This window comes from Homo sapiens, chromosome 13 (assembly GCF_000001405.40).
Source record: "Homo sapiens chromosome 13, GRCh38.p14 Primary Assembly".
NCBI classification, from domain to species: Eukaryota; Metazoa; Chordata; class Mammalia; order Primates; family Hominidae; genus Homo; species Homo sapiens.
This window is the reverse complement of record NC_000013.11, coordinates 80,032,789-80,049,739: the sequence shown is the minus strand read 5'-3', so window position 1 is coordinate 80,049,739 and position 16,951 is coordinate 80,032,789. Positions and strand designations below refer to the sequence as shown.

General features: G+C 38.7%; 1 annotated feature.

Moving 5' to 3' along the window:
* Positions 552-801: an enhancer, noted in NCBI's record as "active region_7859". NCBI's record gives its function as "activates an Ori minimal core promoter by ATAC-STARR-seq in GM12878 lymphoblastoid cells {active_cell/tissue: GM12878}" and the evidence as "EXISTENCE:reporter gene assay evidence [ECO:0000049][PMID:35858748]".

The window sequence follows — 16,951 nt, the reverse complement described above, 5'->3', positions numbered from 1 at the left end:
ATAAACATTAAACTTACAAGCTTAGAAAAAGAACAACTAAGTAATATAAAATAAGCTGTAGAAAAACATATTCACGATAAATGTAGATTTTTTTCTTCCTATGAAGCTGAATTCTTTCTCTCCGAAGTTCCTAATCTCTGTTTTAAGAATCACTGGTATAGATGATATTAAAATGCACATCTCTCAAATATCACCAGATTTGCATATGCAGTCACCTAGAATCATGTAGTCTTGTTTCTAGTGGTCTCCTTTAGGAGAGGTTCTGTGTCATAGTGGTAATTCTAGTGTCTAAGTCAATGCCGGGATGTTCAATAAAATGTTATTAAGTGAACATGTGAATAAATACATTCTTATGCCATATATTTAAAAAAACTGTATGTATCTTAATCCAGTTCATCAAATAAGTGTTTTGTCAAATTTAATCCTTATTAGGATCTCTTCTCATTCTTCATTTTTCAGTACAGAGAATTCTCAAAATCTAAATGATAAAAGCATAGCTATCATGGATTAAAAACAATTCCATTGTACTTTTTCTTACAGCTAACCTTGACTAATTCTCACATGTATTTCAGAAATATGAATAATGTCTTCATGCAATTCATGTAAGGCACAGAAAATAGGTATCATTATTTCTGTTTTAATGACAGATTTTGAGGTTAGGATGACTCATGAACAGCTGAGCAGCCAGTCAGTAGGAGAAACCAAAATAGAACGGAAACGCCTCCATTTCCACCCCCACGCTCAAACCTCGAGTGCACCCTCCCTGGGGAGATTGAAGCGTGATGTGCCTGTGAGTGAACAGGGAAGCGCTTCCTGCAAGTTACTAAGCTGCAAAGGCTCAGCGCTCTGAGCTATCCTTGGTGGTGATCAGTGAGAACCACCCACTCTCAATCCAGCTGATAAAAATGGAAGGGAAGGAGAACTTAGAAAAGCAGGTCCCTTAAATGCTGAGCTCCTCTTATTCTGAGGAAGATATTTCATTTACCTTTAACTGAGTAATCTTCAGAAATTACCTGAACTAAAATATTTTTTCATCCCAGTGAATGTAACCTTAAAATGCAAGCTACCTTGTTAGATGGGCACAGCCCAGCCTGTTTTACTCCCTGGGGAGGGAAAATATTTTCTTAAGCATGTTTCTCTGATTCTTTTAGGCACACAAAATTAGTGAGGCATGCTTTTATAGAAGCCTCTATAACTAAATTACTTTTGTAAAATAATCAACAATAGGATATAGCAGGTGTCAGTCTTTGGCCTGCAAACAAATTATTGTTGGAATTCTTAAGGAGCTTAAGAATATCCTTAGAATACTTGAGGAGCTTAAAGGTAATTTTTTAAAATGTGTTTTAAAAGTATTAACTATCATCCTGTATCCACAAGCATAATGGCCTTAAGTGGAGGAATTAAGAATTGCATCTGAAACATGTTTGATAAAGTTAAGATGTACTTTTGCCTCCACCATCCAATTCAAATAATAATGTTGTCCAATGCAAATACTAGTTTCCAGTAACTAGAGTCATTCCTTTCCCTACACCTCTGTAACTGGACGCATGCAAGTCTATCTTACTTACTGAGGCTGCTTTCATAATTCCAGTGGGCTGGGTTCTAAGAGAAATTTTAAAACTGTTTTCCTCCCCATTAAGCCCTTTGCCATGGTTCTATAGCTTACAGCAGCCCACACCTCACAAATATGAGAAAGGGATAGTCATTAAAACTTCTGCTTAATTCACCAAAAAAATTAAAAATAAAATGGTTAGTTACTGCCCACTCCACACTGACAGAGTTATTTAATCACCTACCACATCCTTACACCTCTGATCCTACTTGTTGGATTTTCTCTGCTGCACTATCAGTGCCTGTCTTTCTCCTTATTAGTATTAATTTCACTATTTTGTGAATGCAAACTTCTAGAGTTGTTTTATGGTCCCTAACGTCCACCCATCCTACCTCCTCTTAAAAAACAAACATGAATACAAAGCAGTCAAGCCATCGGATGGAAGGAAAGGAGCTTGGAACTGAGAGAAACACTTTACCAACAGAATGTAAACCAGACACGTTAAACTCACAGTTGGCCATAAAGAACAGCCTGAGTCTGATAGAGGGACGACAGCCAAAACAGAAGGTTCTTGTGGTGAGACGGCTGATATGGTCAGGCTGGAAAAACCTCTCCATTCCTTCCTGTGGGCACCTGAATTCCACAGGCTTGCAGATGGCAAGAATCACTGAATTACAGTTCCTTAGAGTTTTCTGTGTGCTAGTCGGAGACCTTGCACATGGCATTGAGCTCAGCACACGACGATTTCAGTTCCTTGAGCAAACTCAGATAAAATGAGGCGGAAAATGTTTCTAAAATAAGGTTTTCTAGGGAGTGTTAGTAAAATGTGACACTATCCTAGTGTAATCCAACAGGTAGGAGGTTGGATGGCCTCCCAGGCCTTCAACACACTGTATATTTGAATGTGCACAAGAGGAAATGCTCTAAAGACATGCATTTTCTTTTACCTTTTAGACTAATCCAGTGGAAAAACTATATTCGACCCAAGGATCTGTATCCACACAGTTTGACAATAATTTACTTCTTTCTGGAAGCGATGAGCACAGTGTAATTCCTGAGAAATTTTAATAATGATATTTTAATTATAATTAAGTGAAACCTAGCAAAGTTGGCTGTATCTGGAGGAACTCCACTGTGGGAAACAGATTCTTAAGGTAATTTTTTTGTTTTATATTTTATCCTACACAGCCTTACCTAACCTAAAATTTCTCAAGGTTAATTCAGCACCAGGTGGGTACTCTCGTTTTTGTCTATCTAAAGGGGGGAATTTGAGATAATGGTTGACATGTCAAAAAAGTGGCAATGTAAAATGGGGGCTAATCTTCAGAATGAAGTGTTCCCCCAGAAGGTAAAGCTGTCAGTGATCACCTTCTAGAAATTATTATACTGGCATCCATGACCCTTGCTGAGAGGATCTTGATTGAGATTCAGAGTATCCAAGGAACACCTTGAAAATGTGGGTCATACAATGTCATAACATTTGTAAAGGGGTGCATGATCCAAACTTATTAAAACCTAACATCCAGAATCTCTTAAAGTTTTACTTTTCGTTGTGTGATTTCTTTCCTCACCAATTTCTTTTCCAAGGGTGTGCTATTATTTCTCCTACTGTCATTACTTCTCTCATTCAATTCAGCCTACTTCCACAAGCTCTCATTTTGTAGTAATTAATTCATTCAACAAATATCTGCTAAGGGCCTGTTACAGTGTATGTCCTGGTCTAAGTGCTGGAGAAAGGATAGTGAAAAGAAAAGCAGATCCATTGCCTCAAGAAGCTAATGGTCTAGTGAGGGGGGTGTAGTAAAAAACTAGAGGGGGTGTAGTAAAAAACTACGGTGGCTCACACTTGTAATCCCAGCACTTTGGGAGGCCGAGGTGGGCGGATCATGAGTTCAGGAGTTTGAGACTAGCCTAGACAATATGGTAAAACCCCATCTCCACTAAAAATACAAAAATTAGCTGGGCATGGTGGCGTGCGCCTGTAATCCCAGCTACTCAAGAGACTGAGGCAGAAGAATCGCCTGAACCCGGGAGGTGGAGGTTGCAGTGAGCTGAGATCACACCACTGCACTCCAGCCTGGATGACAGAGCAAGATTCCATCTCAAAAGACAAACAAACAAACAAACAAAAACTAGAAGACACCTGCCTGGGCTATGCAGCAAGACCTCGTCTATACTCAAACTAAAAAAGATAAACCAGGCATAGCGGAGAGTGCCAGTAGCCCCAGCTACTCAGGAGGCTGAGGTGGGAGGATTGCTTGAGCTCAAAGTTCAAGTTCAAGCACTGAGCTACAATTGCACCACTGCACTCCAGCCTGGGTGACAGAGCAAGATCCTGTTTCAGAAAAAGAAAAAAAGCAACAACAACAAAACTAGAAAATAAGTAAATAAGATAATAGTGTATTTGAAGGAAAGAACAATGACCAATGTGGCTGGAACAAAACAGGTGATGGGAAAGCATCCCAGATGAGACTAGAGACTAGTGGGGAGGTCAGATCTTCTAGAATGTCATAGGCCATGTCATACACTCTGAAAAAGAGTTCCAATGTTTGGGTGTTTTTTTTTTTTTTTTTTTTTTGGTTTTTTTCCCAAAGTCCACTGAGAACAATTAAAGTGTTCTAACCTATGATATGATCTAATTTGCAATTTTAGAAGATTGTCCTGTTTTCTATGTGGAAATAGGCAGAAGGAAGGGTCACTAGAGAGGGCAAAGAAATCAGTGTGGCTGCCACTGGAGGAATGGAGGATGATGGGTCTGTGATGAGGACAATGACAGTAAAGATAAAATGAGTTCAGTGGATTCTGGGTATGCTGCTTAAGTAGGACTGAAGAGCCTGCTTATGGTTTAGACATGAGGCATAATAGCAAGGTAAGTAACCAGGATTTTATCTTGAGCATTAGCTTCATCAGCTGCCAAAACAAATAAAATAGACTGCAGGGCTTAAACAACAGAAATTATTCCTCACAGTCTGGAGGCTGAGAAGTCCACGATCAAGGTGCCAGCCAATTCATTTCCTGGAGAGGACCCCCTTTCTGGTTTACACATGACTGCCTTCTTGCTGTGTCCTCACATGATGGATAGAGAAATCATCTCTTATGTCCCTTCTTATAAGGACACTAATCTCATGAGGGCTCTACCCCATGACCTAATTACCTCCAAAAGTTCTGCATACAAACAGCATCTACTGGGAATAATGGCTTCAATATATAAATTTGGGGGGAGGCACAAATATTCAGGCCATAGCAAGAACTTAGAGGATGGTGATGCCATTTTCTGAAATGAAGGATACATGGAACAAACAGCTTTTAAGGGATAGAGGAAAAGACAGAACTACTAATTCTCTTACATTTGAGATGCTACCACAGATGCTAAGCATTGAAACCAGAGTTCCAGTCTGGTAAATCATCAGCTTTTAGGTGGTCTTCAAGTCCATGGGCCTTAGTGCTGTCACTGGTGGAGAGGACCAGGGGCAGAATGCTGAGAGGTCAAATAGATGAGGATAAAGGGCCAACATACTTTCTAGAGACGTAAGTTGCTTTGTATATTGCGGTAAATGATGACTATGTACCAGACAGTTAAATACACATGTTCTTGCCGTTGAGAAACTTGCTATCCCATGATGGAAATAGAAGCATAAATATACAGTCTCAGATAATTTTAGTGTAGCTTATTTAGGTACTTCTTTTTTAATTTAGGGAATGAGCTGTCTCTAGTCCCCATGTGAATTAGTCTGTTTTTACACTGCTATAAAAAACTACCTAAGACTAGGTAATTTTTGAAGAAGAGAGGTTTAATTGACTCACAGTTCTGTAGGCTTAATGGGAGGCATGATTGGGAGGCCTCAGGAAACTTACAATCATGGCAGAAGGCAAAGGAGAAGTAGGCATGTCTTACCATGGTGGACCAGGGGAGAGAGAGTGAAGGGGGAAGTGCCACATACTTTCAAACACCTACATCTTGTGAGAACTCACTCACTATCATGATCAAGAAGGAAATCTGCCCCCATGATTCAATCACCTCCCATCAGGCCCCTACCCTAACACATGGGGATTACAATTCAAGATGAGATTTGGGTGGGGAAACAGAGCCAAACCATATCACCAAGGATTATGGCAGGATAGATAGATAGATCTAGAGAGAGAACAGTTCTGATCATATTTCTGCCCTTCATTTATTCACAGATATTTATCAGAATTTAATCTGGTCCAGGAACTATTTTAGGTTCTAGAAATACAATCAAGAGAAAGACAGACATAATTACTGGTGTCATGGCTCAGTAGGGAAAATAGACATTTAAGAAATAATTACAAAAATAACTTACGATTGTGATACAAGAGATAACGGATAAGTATAAGGTTTTTCTGAGAGCATATACCGGGCTGAACCTGGCCCCATCTGGTCTAGTAGGACTAGGAAGTCATGTTTTAAGCCTAGACTTGAATGATGGTTGATTGAAACTCAGGAAATTATAACAGTGAGAGAAGAGTAAGTAAGAGGAGCGGCATAAGGAAAGACACCCAGGTGAGAAGAAATTTGACACAATGAAGGAACAAAAAGAAAATGACATGGCCAAGAGGTGGTGAGGGGGAGCTCAGCTGAAACGTGGGCAGAGGCCAGGTGCTACAGACCTTGGAGGCCATTTGATAATTGTGACTTTACCTGAAGAACAAGGGGAAGTCACTGAGGGAAGTTCAGTAGGGGGAGACATGGTCAGATTGGCATTTTAGGAAGGTCACAGTTGCTATTTGGAGGAGAAGATTGAGATGACTGGAAAGTCTTCAGGTAGTTTGATAATAACCCAGGCAGAGAGGTACAAGCCCCATAAAGGCTCTCAAGAATAGGGGCTCAATCAATGTTTCCAGCCAAATTTCTATTTACCGAATAGGGAAATTACATAGAGAAATTAGATGACTGTTTTTTCCCAAACACATTTGAGGGCTTGTAGTCTCCAAGCACTTTGCTCCCTATGTTTGGAAAGATCTCTGCCTCCAGCTTTATTATTTAGTTTTCATCCACTATCTTGAAAGTATTTTTTTTTTTCCCTGAAGACATTATTGGCTCTCATTAGTGAATCTAATTTTCCTTTCTTAGTGTCCAAGGATTTCTTTTTTTAAGAATATGAGATAAAAATGTTGAGGATACATGCCTCAGAGGCCTTTCCAGGGTTTTAGCATGCCGGTAGCTGGATAGTACGAAGTTACTCTATAGAGAAAATTCTACAAGGGAGGTGGAGAATGTGCCAGTAGTGGAAGGCACAAAAGGGTCAGGGTCTGAGAAATGGTAAAGGAGTCCCAGCTAGAATTAGGTTCCTCTGTGACTAACAGCCACCAAATAACAGTACCTCAAAAGTTGACTTCTCTTTCTTGTAAAAAGTCTAGTGGCAGATAGTCTAGACACCTAAGGTAATTCTAGAAACCTACACTTGATCTATGTTTTTGCTCAGCCAAACTCAACGTGTGACTTCCATTAGATGGCTGAAGATGGCTGTTTCGCTGCATCAATGTGTGACTTTCAATAGATGATCGAAGATGGCTGTTTGGCACTGTGTCTGAATTAAGCCAGAAGGAAGGAGGAAGAAGATGAAGAAAAGGCATGCCTCTACCCCTTAGGACCACGTCTCTGAAGCTGTATACAACATTTCTGCTCTCATATAATTGGGCAGAACTTAGTCATAGAGCTACATGTAGTTGCAAGGGAAGCTATATGCACTAATGTGCTTAGTTAAACATTGGGATTCTCTTACTAAGGTACATAAGGAGAACATATATTTGGAGAGGCAACTATCCATCTCTGCCACAAGATCTGAAACAATTATTGTGAGACTATAAACATAGAAAAAAGCTCCAGAGATCAGGGGGAAGTCAGAAATTATTTGGGATTCCAGTGAATGGAATGTTGACCATAAATGAGAAATGATGCTTGGGATAATTCCTAGCGAGCATTGGCTTTTAGAGTTGGGATTGAAGTCAACCAGCTATAAAGAGCAAGACTGGGTGGGGTACTTTGAAATGTCATATCATTGTGTATGGCTTTTGTGGTAGTTACTGCTTCTTTTTAGAATAATTCTCATAACTAGGTAGAAAGCTCACCTTTGAAACTTCTGCATGCCTAATAAAATGCTTCACTCACACCCAGTTGTTTTACTCAAGCGAGTAGTTTTATGGTAACTGCATTTGGGGTAACAGTCTTACAGAAGAGTTAACACAATGGGCAGATTCCAGGTGTGCTGTCATTTGGAGGAGGCAAATCCATACAGACAAGAAGTAGATTAGTGGTTGCCTAGAGCTGGAGGAGGGTAGGGATAAGGAATGGATTACTACTGGGACTGGGTTTCTTTTTGGGGTGATGAAAATTTTCTAAAATTGATTGTGGTGATGGTTGCCTAACTCTGTGAATAGCAATGAATTGTGCTATTGTACACTTTAGGTAAATGGTATGGTATATGAGTTATATCCCCAATAAAGCTGTTAAAAAAGAATGAGAAAGACCGAGTGACTTGCCAAGGTAGTCTCTCAAATGTGTTGTTGTTTTTTCTTTGAAGCTCTTAACAAAACTTTTAAAGACATGCAAGAATCATTATGGCTCAGAGTCCTGATGGGAGTACCAGGCTCTCTTTTGAGCTGTTGTCTCTTAAAACTTGTAGCATGCCTTGTCACGTATGTTATCAAAAAAGTAAGGAAAAGAATAGCTTCAGTTCCTATTGCCCTCAAATCTGAGACTTTCAGATCAGAAGTTTAACCTAATGTCCTTGGGCATGGGAGGGAGGGAGGAGGTGTGAGGGGAGATCCACCTTAGACTTTAACCTCCCTAAAGGTGTATGCCAGTTGTAAATATGTGCTTAGTTGAATTATTCTGGGAGGATGCATCTTTATCATAGTCTCAGAGGAATTTATTGCCTCTCCCACCCCCACCCCCAAAAGAGGGAAGCTTTAAAAATATGAAGTATAAAATGCAGCATATAAAAAAAAATCGTTGCCTAATTTATATTTACTTTGTTTCACTGATTGGGAAAGAAGTGAAGAGAGGAAAAATGCTGGGTTAAGGGGGGCAGGCCAGGGTGGTGATGGAGCGACTCATTCTCAATTTCTGCAAGGAGGAAACAATATTTCTTAAGACATAGTCTAAATTAAACTTGGTAGAGGAGGAGGGACTGATCGAATGTGCTTGTTCTCTCTTCTTTCCCTGTAATCGTTTTAGGAGAGGGAATGGTTTATAGGGACAAACATCAACTCTGATGAATCAAATGAAATGAATGAGAAAGTCATACTTCATATAAACACTGCAAATCAATGTTAGCCCTCCTTACCCTCTCCATTGAAGATGCCTGCCACATGAATGATTCATGTTGAACCATCAACTCAGTACAGTCATCTGCAAGAACACCAAGGGTTTGCTTACACATAATTACTCAGAACTGAGTAGGAGGAAATCCTTGTCTCGGATCATGGGAGATAATGGAATTCCAACGAAGGATGCCTTGGCAAAGTAGAAGTACTTTCCCTTGGACCTTTGAAATCCTTAATGAGTTGAATCATGTCAAGTAACAAAATAAACAAGGATGAGAAACATCAGTTGGGTTCGGTCCAAAGTCTAGCCTGCTTAAGATTGGGCTTCCCTCATCACTGCTTAAACATTATACAGTTTTCTATCAGCCAAGCCTGTGTTTTTTTTTTTTTCATTTTTTTTTCTTAAATCAGATTTCAAAAGCCAGGCACTAGCTGATGGTAATTAGTAGGCATCGGTTGCAGTTTATTCTTGCTGTTCTTTCCAGGCATGCATAATTTTTGTGAAGAGAAAAGAAAATCCAATTACCCCCAAATCTAGCCAGTGTGGCTCATCTGCTCTTGTGTTAGATCTTTAGAAATGGTTCTTAACAATAGAAATGAAGACATATGGTACTTGAGAACAGCATCTTGCAACCTTATTTATAATATTAAGGAAAAAAGCCCAGTCAGGTGAACATTGACATCCTACTTTATGAAAATCTGACACAAGAAATGTTGATCCCATAACACACGTAACATAGAGACTTGCTCATACCATAAAGAATTTATTGGTGATTTTATTTCTAGTATCCCTCTTACATTTTAAAAGACTCCCTTAAAAATGCTTGACTTGAAGCTTTCCAGGAAAGCTTACACAGTAAAACTAAAAACATCTGATACAATTTTGAAGGACTCAGATTCTTCAAAGCAAGGAAAGTGAAAATTTCTACTCAACTTTGTAAAGGTTGGGTCTATGACAAAATATTTGATAGGTTAGATTATTTTGTTATTTAAATTACTCCTTGAAATGCTGGTTAATTTCAGATTTCATTGATCTTTGAGTTTCGGAGAGTGTTTTAGTATTGCAATAGTAAATACTAAATAGAATTTTGGTAACAAAAAATACCCTTTATCATTTGGATTAACATTTTTAGGTCATGTTTTTCTTCTCTGTATATTTATCTGTGAAGAATAAATGACATTAAAGGTGAATCATACTAAAATTGCATGTATTGTTTTTTGCCCAAGAGAATTTTCTTGCTGCAAGTAAAAACACACAAAAAAAGTTATTGAAAAAATTCAGCTTTACATTTTTAAATAAGCCCATTTTGAACCCTTCTAATACAAGCATTGTTCAACAACACTTTGTGTTTATAATAGATTTTCATTAACCACCTTGTGTCTGATAGATACACTGTTGTGTATCTATCCTGATGACTTCCTGTTGGACATGAGCAGAAGGGCACTTCCCGGGATTGCAAGACCATCTTTGGCTCCAGGAAATTTTTCTATTCAGTGTGTAGCAAGACATTGATTATGGGCAGAATTCTCCAATTATAAGAGCTTTTCTTTTTTGTCTGGATAGTAGTTTGATCATATCATATTTTTGCTAAAGGATTCCTAACAGACTCTGACACCTTATAAATTTAAGTCCAAATTCCTCAACATAGTTCACCAGGTTCTCGTCATGGGACTTACTGTCTTCCTTTCACTTCCTCTTGCAAATCAAAACCCACCCTCTGTTTCAGTCAAGGTCTTCTTCCTGCATTCATGCTGATTTCCCTCTCAGAGCCCAGGCTGTCCCATACCCATTCATCTTTTCATACATCCAGTCTAAGATTCCAAAGAAAGCATACTTTCTGGACCAGGTGCTACTCTGGGCATCATGTCAGCACAAAGGTGAATAAGGCACAGTCTCTGTCTTTGAGGAACTCATAGTTTAGGGTTGAACGTGGACATTTAACCAAATATATAAAGTAACACAATGAAGTAAGGACATTCAAGATTAATTAAGGAAGGGATTTATTTTAGGGAATGACATAACAGAAGAGGCTGTAGTTGATTTGAACCTTGAAGAATAAACAGGAGTCTATCATGAGCATTTGGATTTTGTCTGGTAAGTTTTTTTAAGTCTAGTATAGGCCTTCAAAAATATTTGTTGAAAGAGCTAGCAAAATGCTAAATGAGTTTTGGTGGTGGGGGGTTTGTTTTGATATACTTTTCTTCCCCAGTTCTGACAACAGCCTTGTGAAGTTGGTAAGGCTATTAGAGCTATACAAATAAGATACAGGCCCAAAGGAAGTTGACCCAATAAGTGGAAAATCTGAAACCACATCCATTCTTCTGACTCTAAGGCCTTTGTTCTATCTACTCTGCCTTTCTACCTCCCTGAGTGCTCTTTTGAATTTCCTGACTGCTCCCATCACAAATAAACACAGAGCAGATACTCAACAATTGTTTATTGATTGAGAGAAGCATATAACTTTGATGTCAAAATTTTAATACAGATTTTCCAAGCCCTTTAATAGCCCCTAAACTGGACTTTATATTTCTTTAACTTGGCCCGTTGACATTTCTCAGTCTTTATACTTCCTGAGGCAGGGATAAACTGCTTGCTTATTTGAAAACAAAAGCATGCAGACTATAGGCCATCAATAGTGACCGTGTTGAAGAATCTCACTCCTAAGCTATAGTCAGAATAGTGTTAGAAGGAAAAACAAGAGGCGGAGGCATGTCCACAACCATATAGGAACTTCTCAGAAGCCACTTATCTCTTGGGCAAATAATACCAATTACTCTGCAAGTTTTCTCTATAGCTCTAGGGCATGGTGTGACACTTTTTAGTTGCCCAAGTGCTACTTTCAGAGGTTCAAAACCACAGAATGGATATTCATTTCCACGACTGCATTAATGTATCTCCTTACAGAAGGAACGGAAAGTCTTTTACTCAGTGTCAAGCTTTCCCAGGTCTTTACACTTGAGCACCCGCCAGCTTTTCTACAGGCAAGTCATGGGGTCATAATCGGGGAGCAATGTTCTCCCCAAATGTATGCTTTCCTTTCAGATAACTCTCCCAGAACACCCCACTGACCCTTTGTGCCCTAGTGATGGAAGAACATTTTTAGGTGAGATGGTGTATTTTACATAATGTGTTCCCAGATGCTTTCCATGAATGACTCAGGGCAGGGTAAGCTGCATAAAATTCTGGTGCAGCGGCCGGAAGAAAGCTGCACTCTGTTTAAGCATGAGTGTTGTGTTGTGAGCAGGCTGAGTAATGATGTTCTGTGAGTGACTAGTCTAAGGAAAAGCCAGTGAGTAGGAGTCAGGCTCTCTGACTTCAAATGTCAACATAGATGGAACAAAAATGAGCAGGTTAGTTAAACTCTTTGGGCCTCAGTTTCTCATTTGTGAAGCAAGAAAATTAATGCCTATTTTTGCCCATTTGACTATAGTGGCAGGAAAGGTCATGTGTAAAGTCAAGTTGACTCTTATTTATTGAATGTTTCACAAAAGAAGCATACATGTCATCAGAGAATATGCCTGAAGAAAAAAGAGATTGTTTCAACCAATGTTTAGTGTCTGGTGCCAGGGATATGGTAGTAAACAGATGTGTTCTTGCCCTTAAGGGCTCATGTGGTAATTTAGGAAACAGAGACTAAATAATTAATTGCACATTTAATTATACAATTAAATGTGATAAGTATCACAGAAGAGAATTATGTATAAGAGTATAAGAACAGAAGAAGACAGTCTAGTCTCAAGAAAAGGTTCAGTATGGGGATGACATTTAAGTTGAATTGTGAGAGAGGAAGGGTAAATTGGGAAGTGGCAAAGATGTGGGAGATGCCTTTTTAAAAAGAGGAAGTGTTATACGTAAAGGTTTGTGAGGCAATTGCATGTGGCAGGAACCTAGAATTGAAAGCAGGACTTCGGGGCTAGGGGCAGTGAGTGTGGTACTACATGGTGCTGAGGGACCACTGGGAACCAGCTCACTTGGGGCCTTGTATGCCAAGTGAAGGGCTCCAAATGGTTATTATAGGAAGAATGAGAGACTTTACAGAGTTCTAATGAGAATGGCTTGATCAGATCTTTTTTATAATTACACTGAATGCAGGGTGGAAAATGAATTACTGAAGCGTGAGAGTGCATAAAAGGACACCCAAAAGTACATTTTAAAAATGGAGTCTACCCAGTTCCTTCCTGCCGTGTAACAGGAATCCAGGGCCACCATTTTGGTGCACTTGAATAGATCCTGACTTTTTGTCCTTTTATGCATATCCCACCACACTTAATGTTCTTATATTCTATTCTTTCTAAAACTCTGCATAAGATAAAATGTGATTATTTCTTGATTTGATGTTGATAGGTGGTAAGCTAGCCTCCCCAACTAACATAGCTATATTCTAATAGTATTATAACTATCTTTTCTCTTCATTAATATTTACTAAGAAAATAAAATCTAATTGTAGAGATAAGTTAAAGATAGATGGATGAATACATAGATATATAGACAGGTGAAATATAGATAAGTAGATAAATAGATGGATGGATGGATAGAAAGATAGATAATATAAATTAGTACGCTTTTAGCTGCAGGAAACAGAAATCCCACATAATAAGTCTTGAGGCAAAGCAGCTCCAGGTTAGTGAATTTGTTGGCTCATCATCATTTTAAGAACCTAATTATTTTCTTTATTTCTACCTGACTATCCTCAGCATATGGCAATCTCTCTCCTTTTTTAAATTGCATGTATGTTTGTGGGGTACAATGTAATGTTTTCATATAAATCTTGATGGTCACAAGCTGGTTGCAGTTGTCTTGCAATCACATCCCATCAATCCAGGGTTCTGAAAAGGGTTTAGCTCTTCCAGGTGTATTCTTGAGAGAGAAGAATCCTGTCTCAGAAGCTCCTCAGACAATCTTATTCATGTTTCATGCTAGGCAATTCACAGGGGAATGAAATGCCTATTATTTTCAATTTATTAACTCAATTATCTTAGAGTTATTACAACTCTCATCCTGGAACTGAAATTTAAGGCAGGCTTTCTTGAAGCAAAAGGCCTTGGTGACTCCCTATAGAAAATTAGGATTTATTATTAAGGAGAAAGGGGAAATGGCTTTTGGATGGCTGAGACATCAGTGGTGTCTGCTTCACATGTAAAAATTAAAGGTAAACCACAAAAACAGTCAAGCAAATGAATGATACTCAAAGTGTCATGTCAGCTTGCAGCATCAACATTACCTGTGAGGGTGTGAGAAATGTTAATCCTCTGGCCCTACTAAGGACCCACTGAATCAGAATGTTTGAGGGTGGGCCCAGAAATCTGTGTTTTAGGTTCAGCAAGTGACAGTGATGGAGAGAATAGTTTAAGAATCATTGCTCCAGAGTAAAAACATGTTTCAGAAGGTTGAATGACACCAAGCAAGGAGTTGAAAACGTGGATCAGAGCTGGGGGAGAGGGATCAGAGCTAGGAAATTTGACTAATCAATTAAAACACAGGCCTTATATCATGCTAGTAAGGGAGACATTTTGCAAGGAAGCCATTTACCATTCTCTGAATCATATTACCTTCTTTATCTACTGGTAGAACCATTTTGGCTGCCAGAATAAGACAAATGGTGTAAAGATAAGAAAATATTCTACAAAAACTATATGAGGAAATAATTCACTATATGATAAATAATTCACTGGGAATAATGCCCAGGCATGAAAGTATTTGAGTAAGTTTAGAATTTGGAAAATAGATAATAAATTCTGGGGCATAAATATGGAAATGAAAACATGGAGTGGCTGGAAGGCATGCTGTTTTACAGATCCAGAATAACAATTATAGGTTCTTTCTCTGGACATTCCCAGATGCTGATCAAACAACACTTGATACAGCTGCAAACTGCCAGCTAGTAAATCTATATGGAAATTTACAATCTACCTGGGGAATACTTTTGTGAATCTGAATTGTGGGAGTGGAGATGAAAGTTTTCATGTATTATTTTTTATTTGTATGAGTACATGTGGAAGCCACACACCTGCTATAGATGTTGCTCAAGGAAACACATAAGTCTGGCTTATAACAGGCTGAATTGTTTTCGAAATAAAAAGTGTAGAAAAGAGTAGAACAGAGTCCACAAGACCATCCTAAGCTCGTCATCTGGAAAAGGAAATGTGTGGATTTCTGTTGCTTTGGCATATCCCAACATCACGGCCAACTGAATCTAACCATAAAAGGCTTCCTTTAGAAGAGAAGAAAAGGGCAAAACAGATTCACAAGAGGACTGGAAGCAGAGATGTTAACACTTAGGAGGTAAAAGAGAAAAATAAGCTAGACATCGAGCCATAAGAATAGTCATCTCCAAAAAGCACCCTGGCTAGCCTCAACCTTGTTCGAAATGTACTTGTACGCAATTAGTTTGCATACTACTTTGAAGTTTTTGGAGGGCTTCTTCTCAAGCCGTGGTTCTCAAATTGTAATGTTTATCAAAATTACCCAGAGAGTTTGCTAAAACACAGGTTTCAACTCAGTAGGTCTATGGAGGGCCTGAGATTGTGCATGTCTAAGAAGTCAGAAATGCAGTTTGTTTGAGGACCACACATTGAGAACAACTTAGTTAAGATTTTTGAAGTTAATTTTTTTGTATTTTTTAATATTTTCTACTTTTCATTTTTGCTGATACACACACACACACGCACAGTCCTCTGACAAGACCTCTAACTTGCTTCATAGTCCAGGAACATGGGATTACTGGTGACTGAAGACAGCTAGAATAACACTAGGTTTCGTACCTCTCATGCTGATCACCCAAGACACTTACAACATTAGAAGGGCAGAGGAGGAAGTTCTGCAAGTGTAACTTTTATTTTTCATTTACCAAACAGAGGAATGAAAGTCTCTTGGAATTCTAGATAGAATGTAAGTATTATATTAGGAAGGAAATAAGGGGAAAAAGAACAAGCTATGGCCAAAAATTAGTCTGTTAATAGTTTTAGAGAATGTCATGCACCTCTAACAGAGAACTTTGGATGTATGAAGTCCTGAACATAAAGTTGACTAGTAGTATATTAGAATTAGACATGAGGCATAAGTTTATAATTTATAAACATAAGTTATGAGACACAAGTCTATCATTATTTTAAGAAGAATGATTAATTTTACCAAAGACAGCTGAAGCTGGACTAGCTGCAAAAAAATCGTATGTGTAAGTCCATTCTCACACTGCTATGAAGAAATACCTGAGACTAGGTAATTTATTTTAAAAAAGAGGTCTAATTGATTCACAGTTCCACACAGCTGGGGAAGCCTCAGGAAATTTACAATCATGGTGGAAGGCACCTCTTCACAGGGCTGCAGGAGAGAGAATGAGCCAAGGAGGAATTTGCCAAACACTTATAAAACCATCAGATCTCCTGAGAACTGACTCACTATCATGAGAACAGTGTGGGAAAAACCACTGCCATGATTCAATTACCTCCACCTGGTCTCTCCATTAACACGTGGGGATTATGGGGATTATAATTCAAGATGAGATTTTTGGTTGGGACATGGCCAAACCATATCATATTGTGACTAGGATATAAAGTTATAGTAATGTTTTAAGTGTTGTGATTCTGAAGTTTTATATTTGAAATAAAAACATAGTAGTTAGTCCAAGAACTCTACATGTGAAGATTAGTATTGCAGAGTAGCCATTTAAAAATGTACATAGGCCAGGCACAGTGGCTCACACCTGTAATCCCAGCATGTTGGGAGGCCAATGCGGGCGGATCACTTGAGGTCAGTAGTTTGAGACCAGCCTGGCCAACATGGTGAAACCTCATCTCTACTAAAAATACAAAAATTAGCTGGGCATGGTGGCGCATGCCTGTAATACCAGCTACTCAGGAGGCTGAGGCAGGAGAATCACTTGAACCCAGGAGGTGGAGGCTGCAGTGAGCTGAGATCAAGCTGCTGCACTCCATCCTGGGTGACAGAGTGAGACCTTGTCTCAAAAAAGAAAAAAAAATGTACATATGTTTTTTAAAAATAAAATTTATTTTATTTCAAATATAAAAGAGTAATGATTGAATATAGAATTTTCTGAAAATTTGGAAAATTTGACTTAAAAACATTTACTCAGTCTCACTAGAAAGACAACA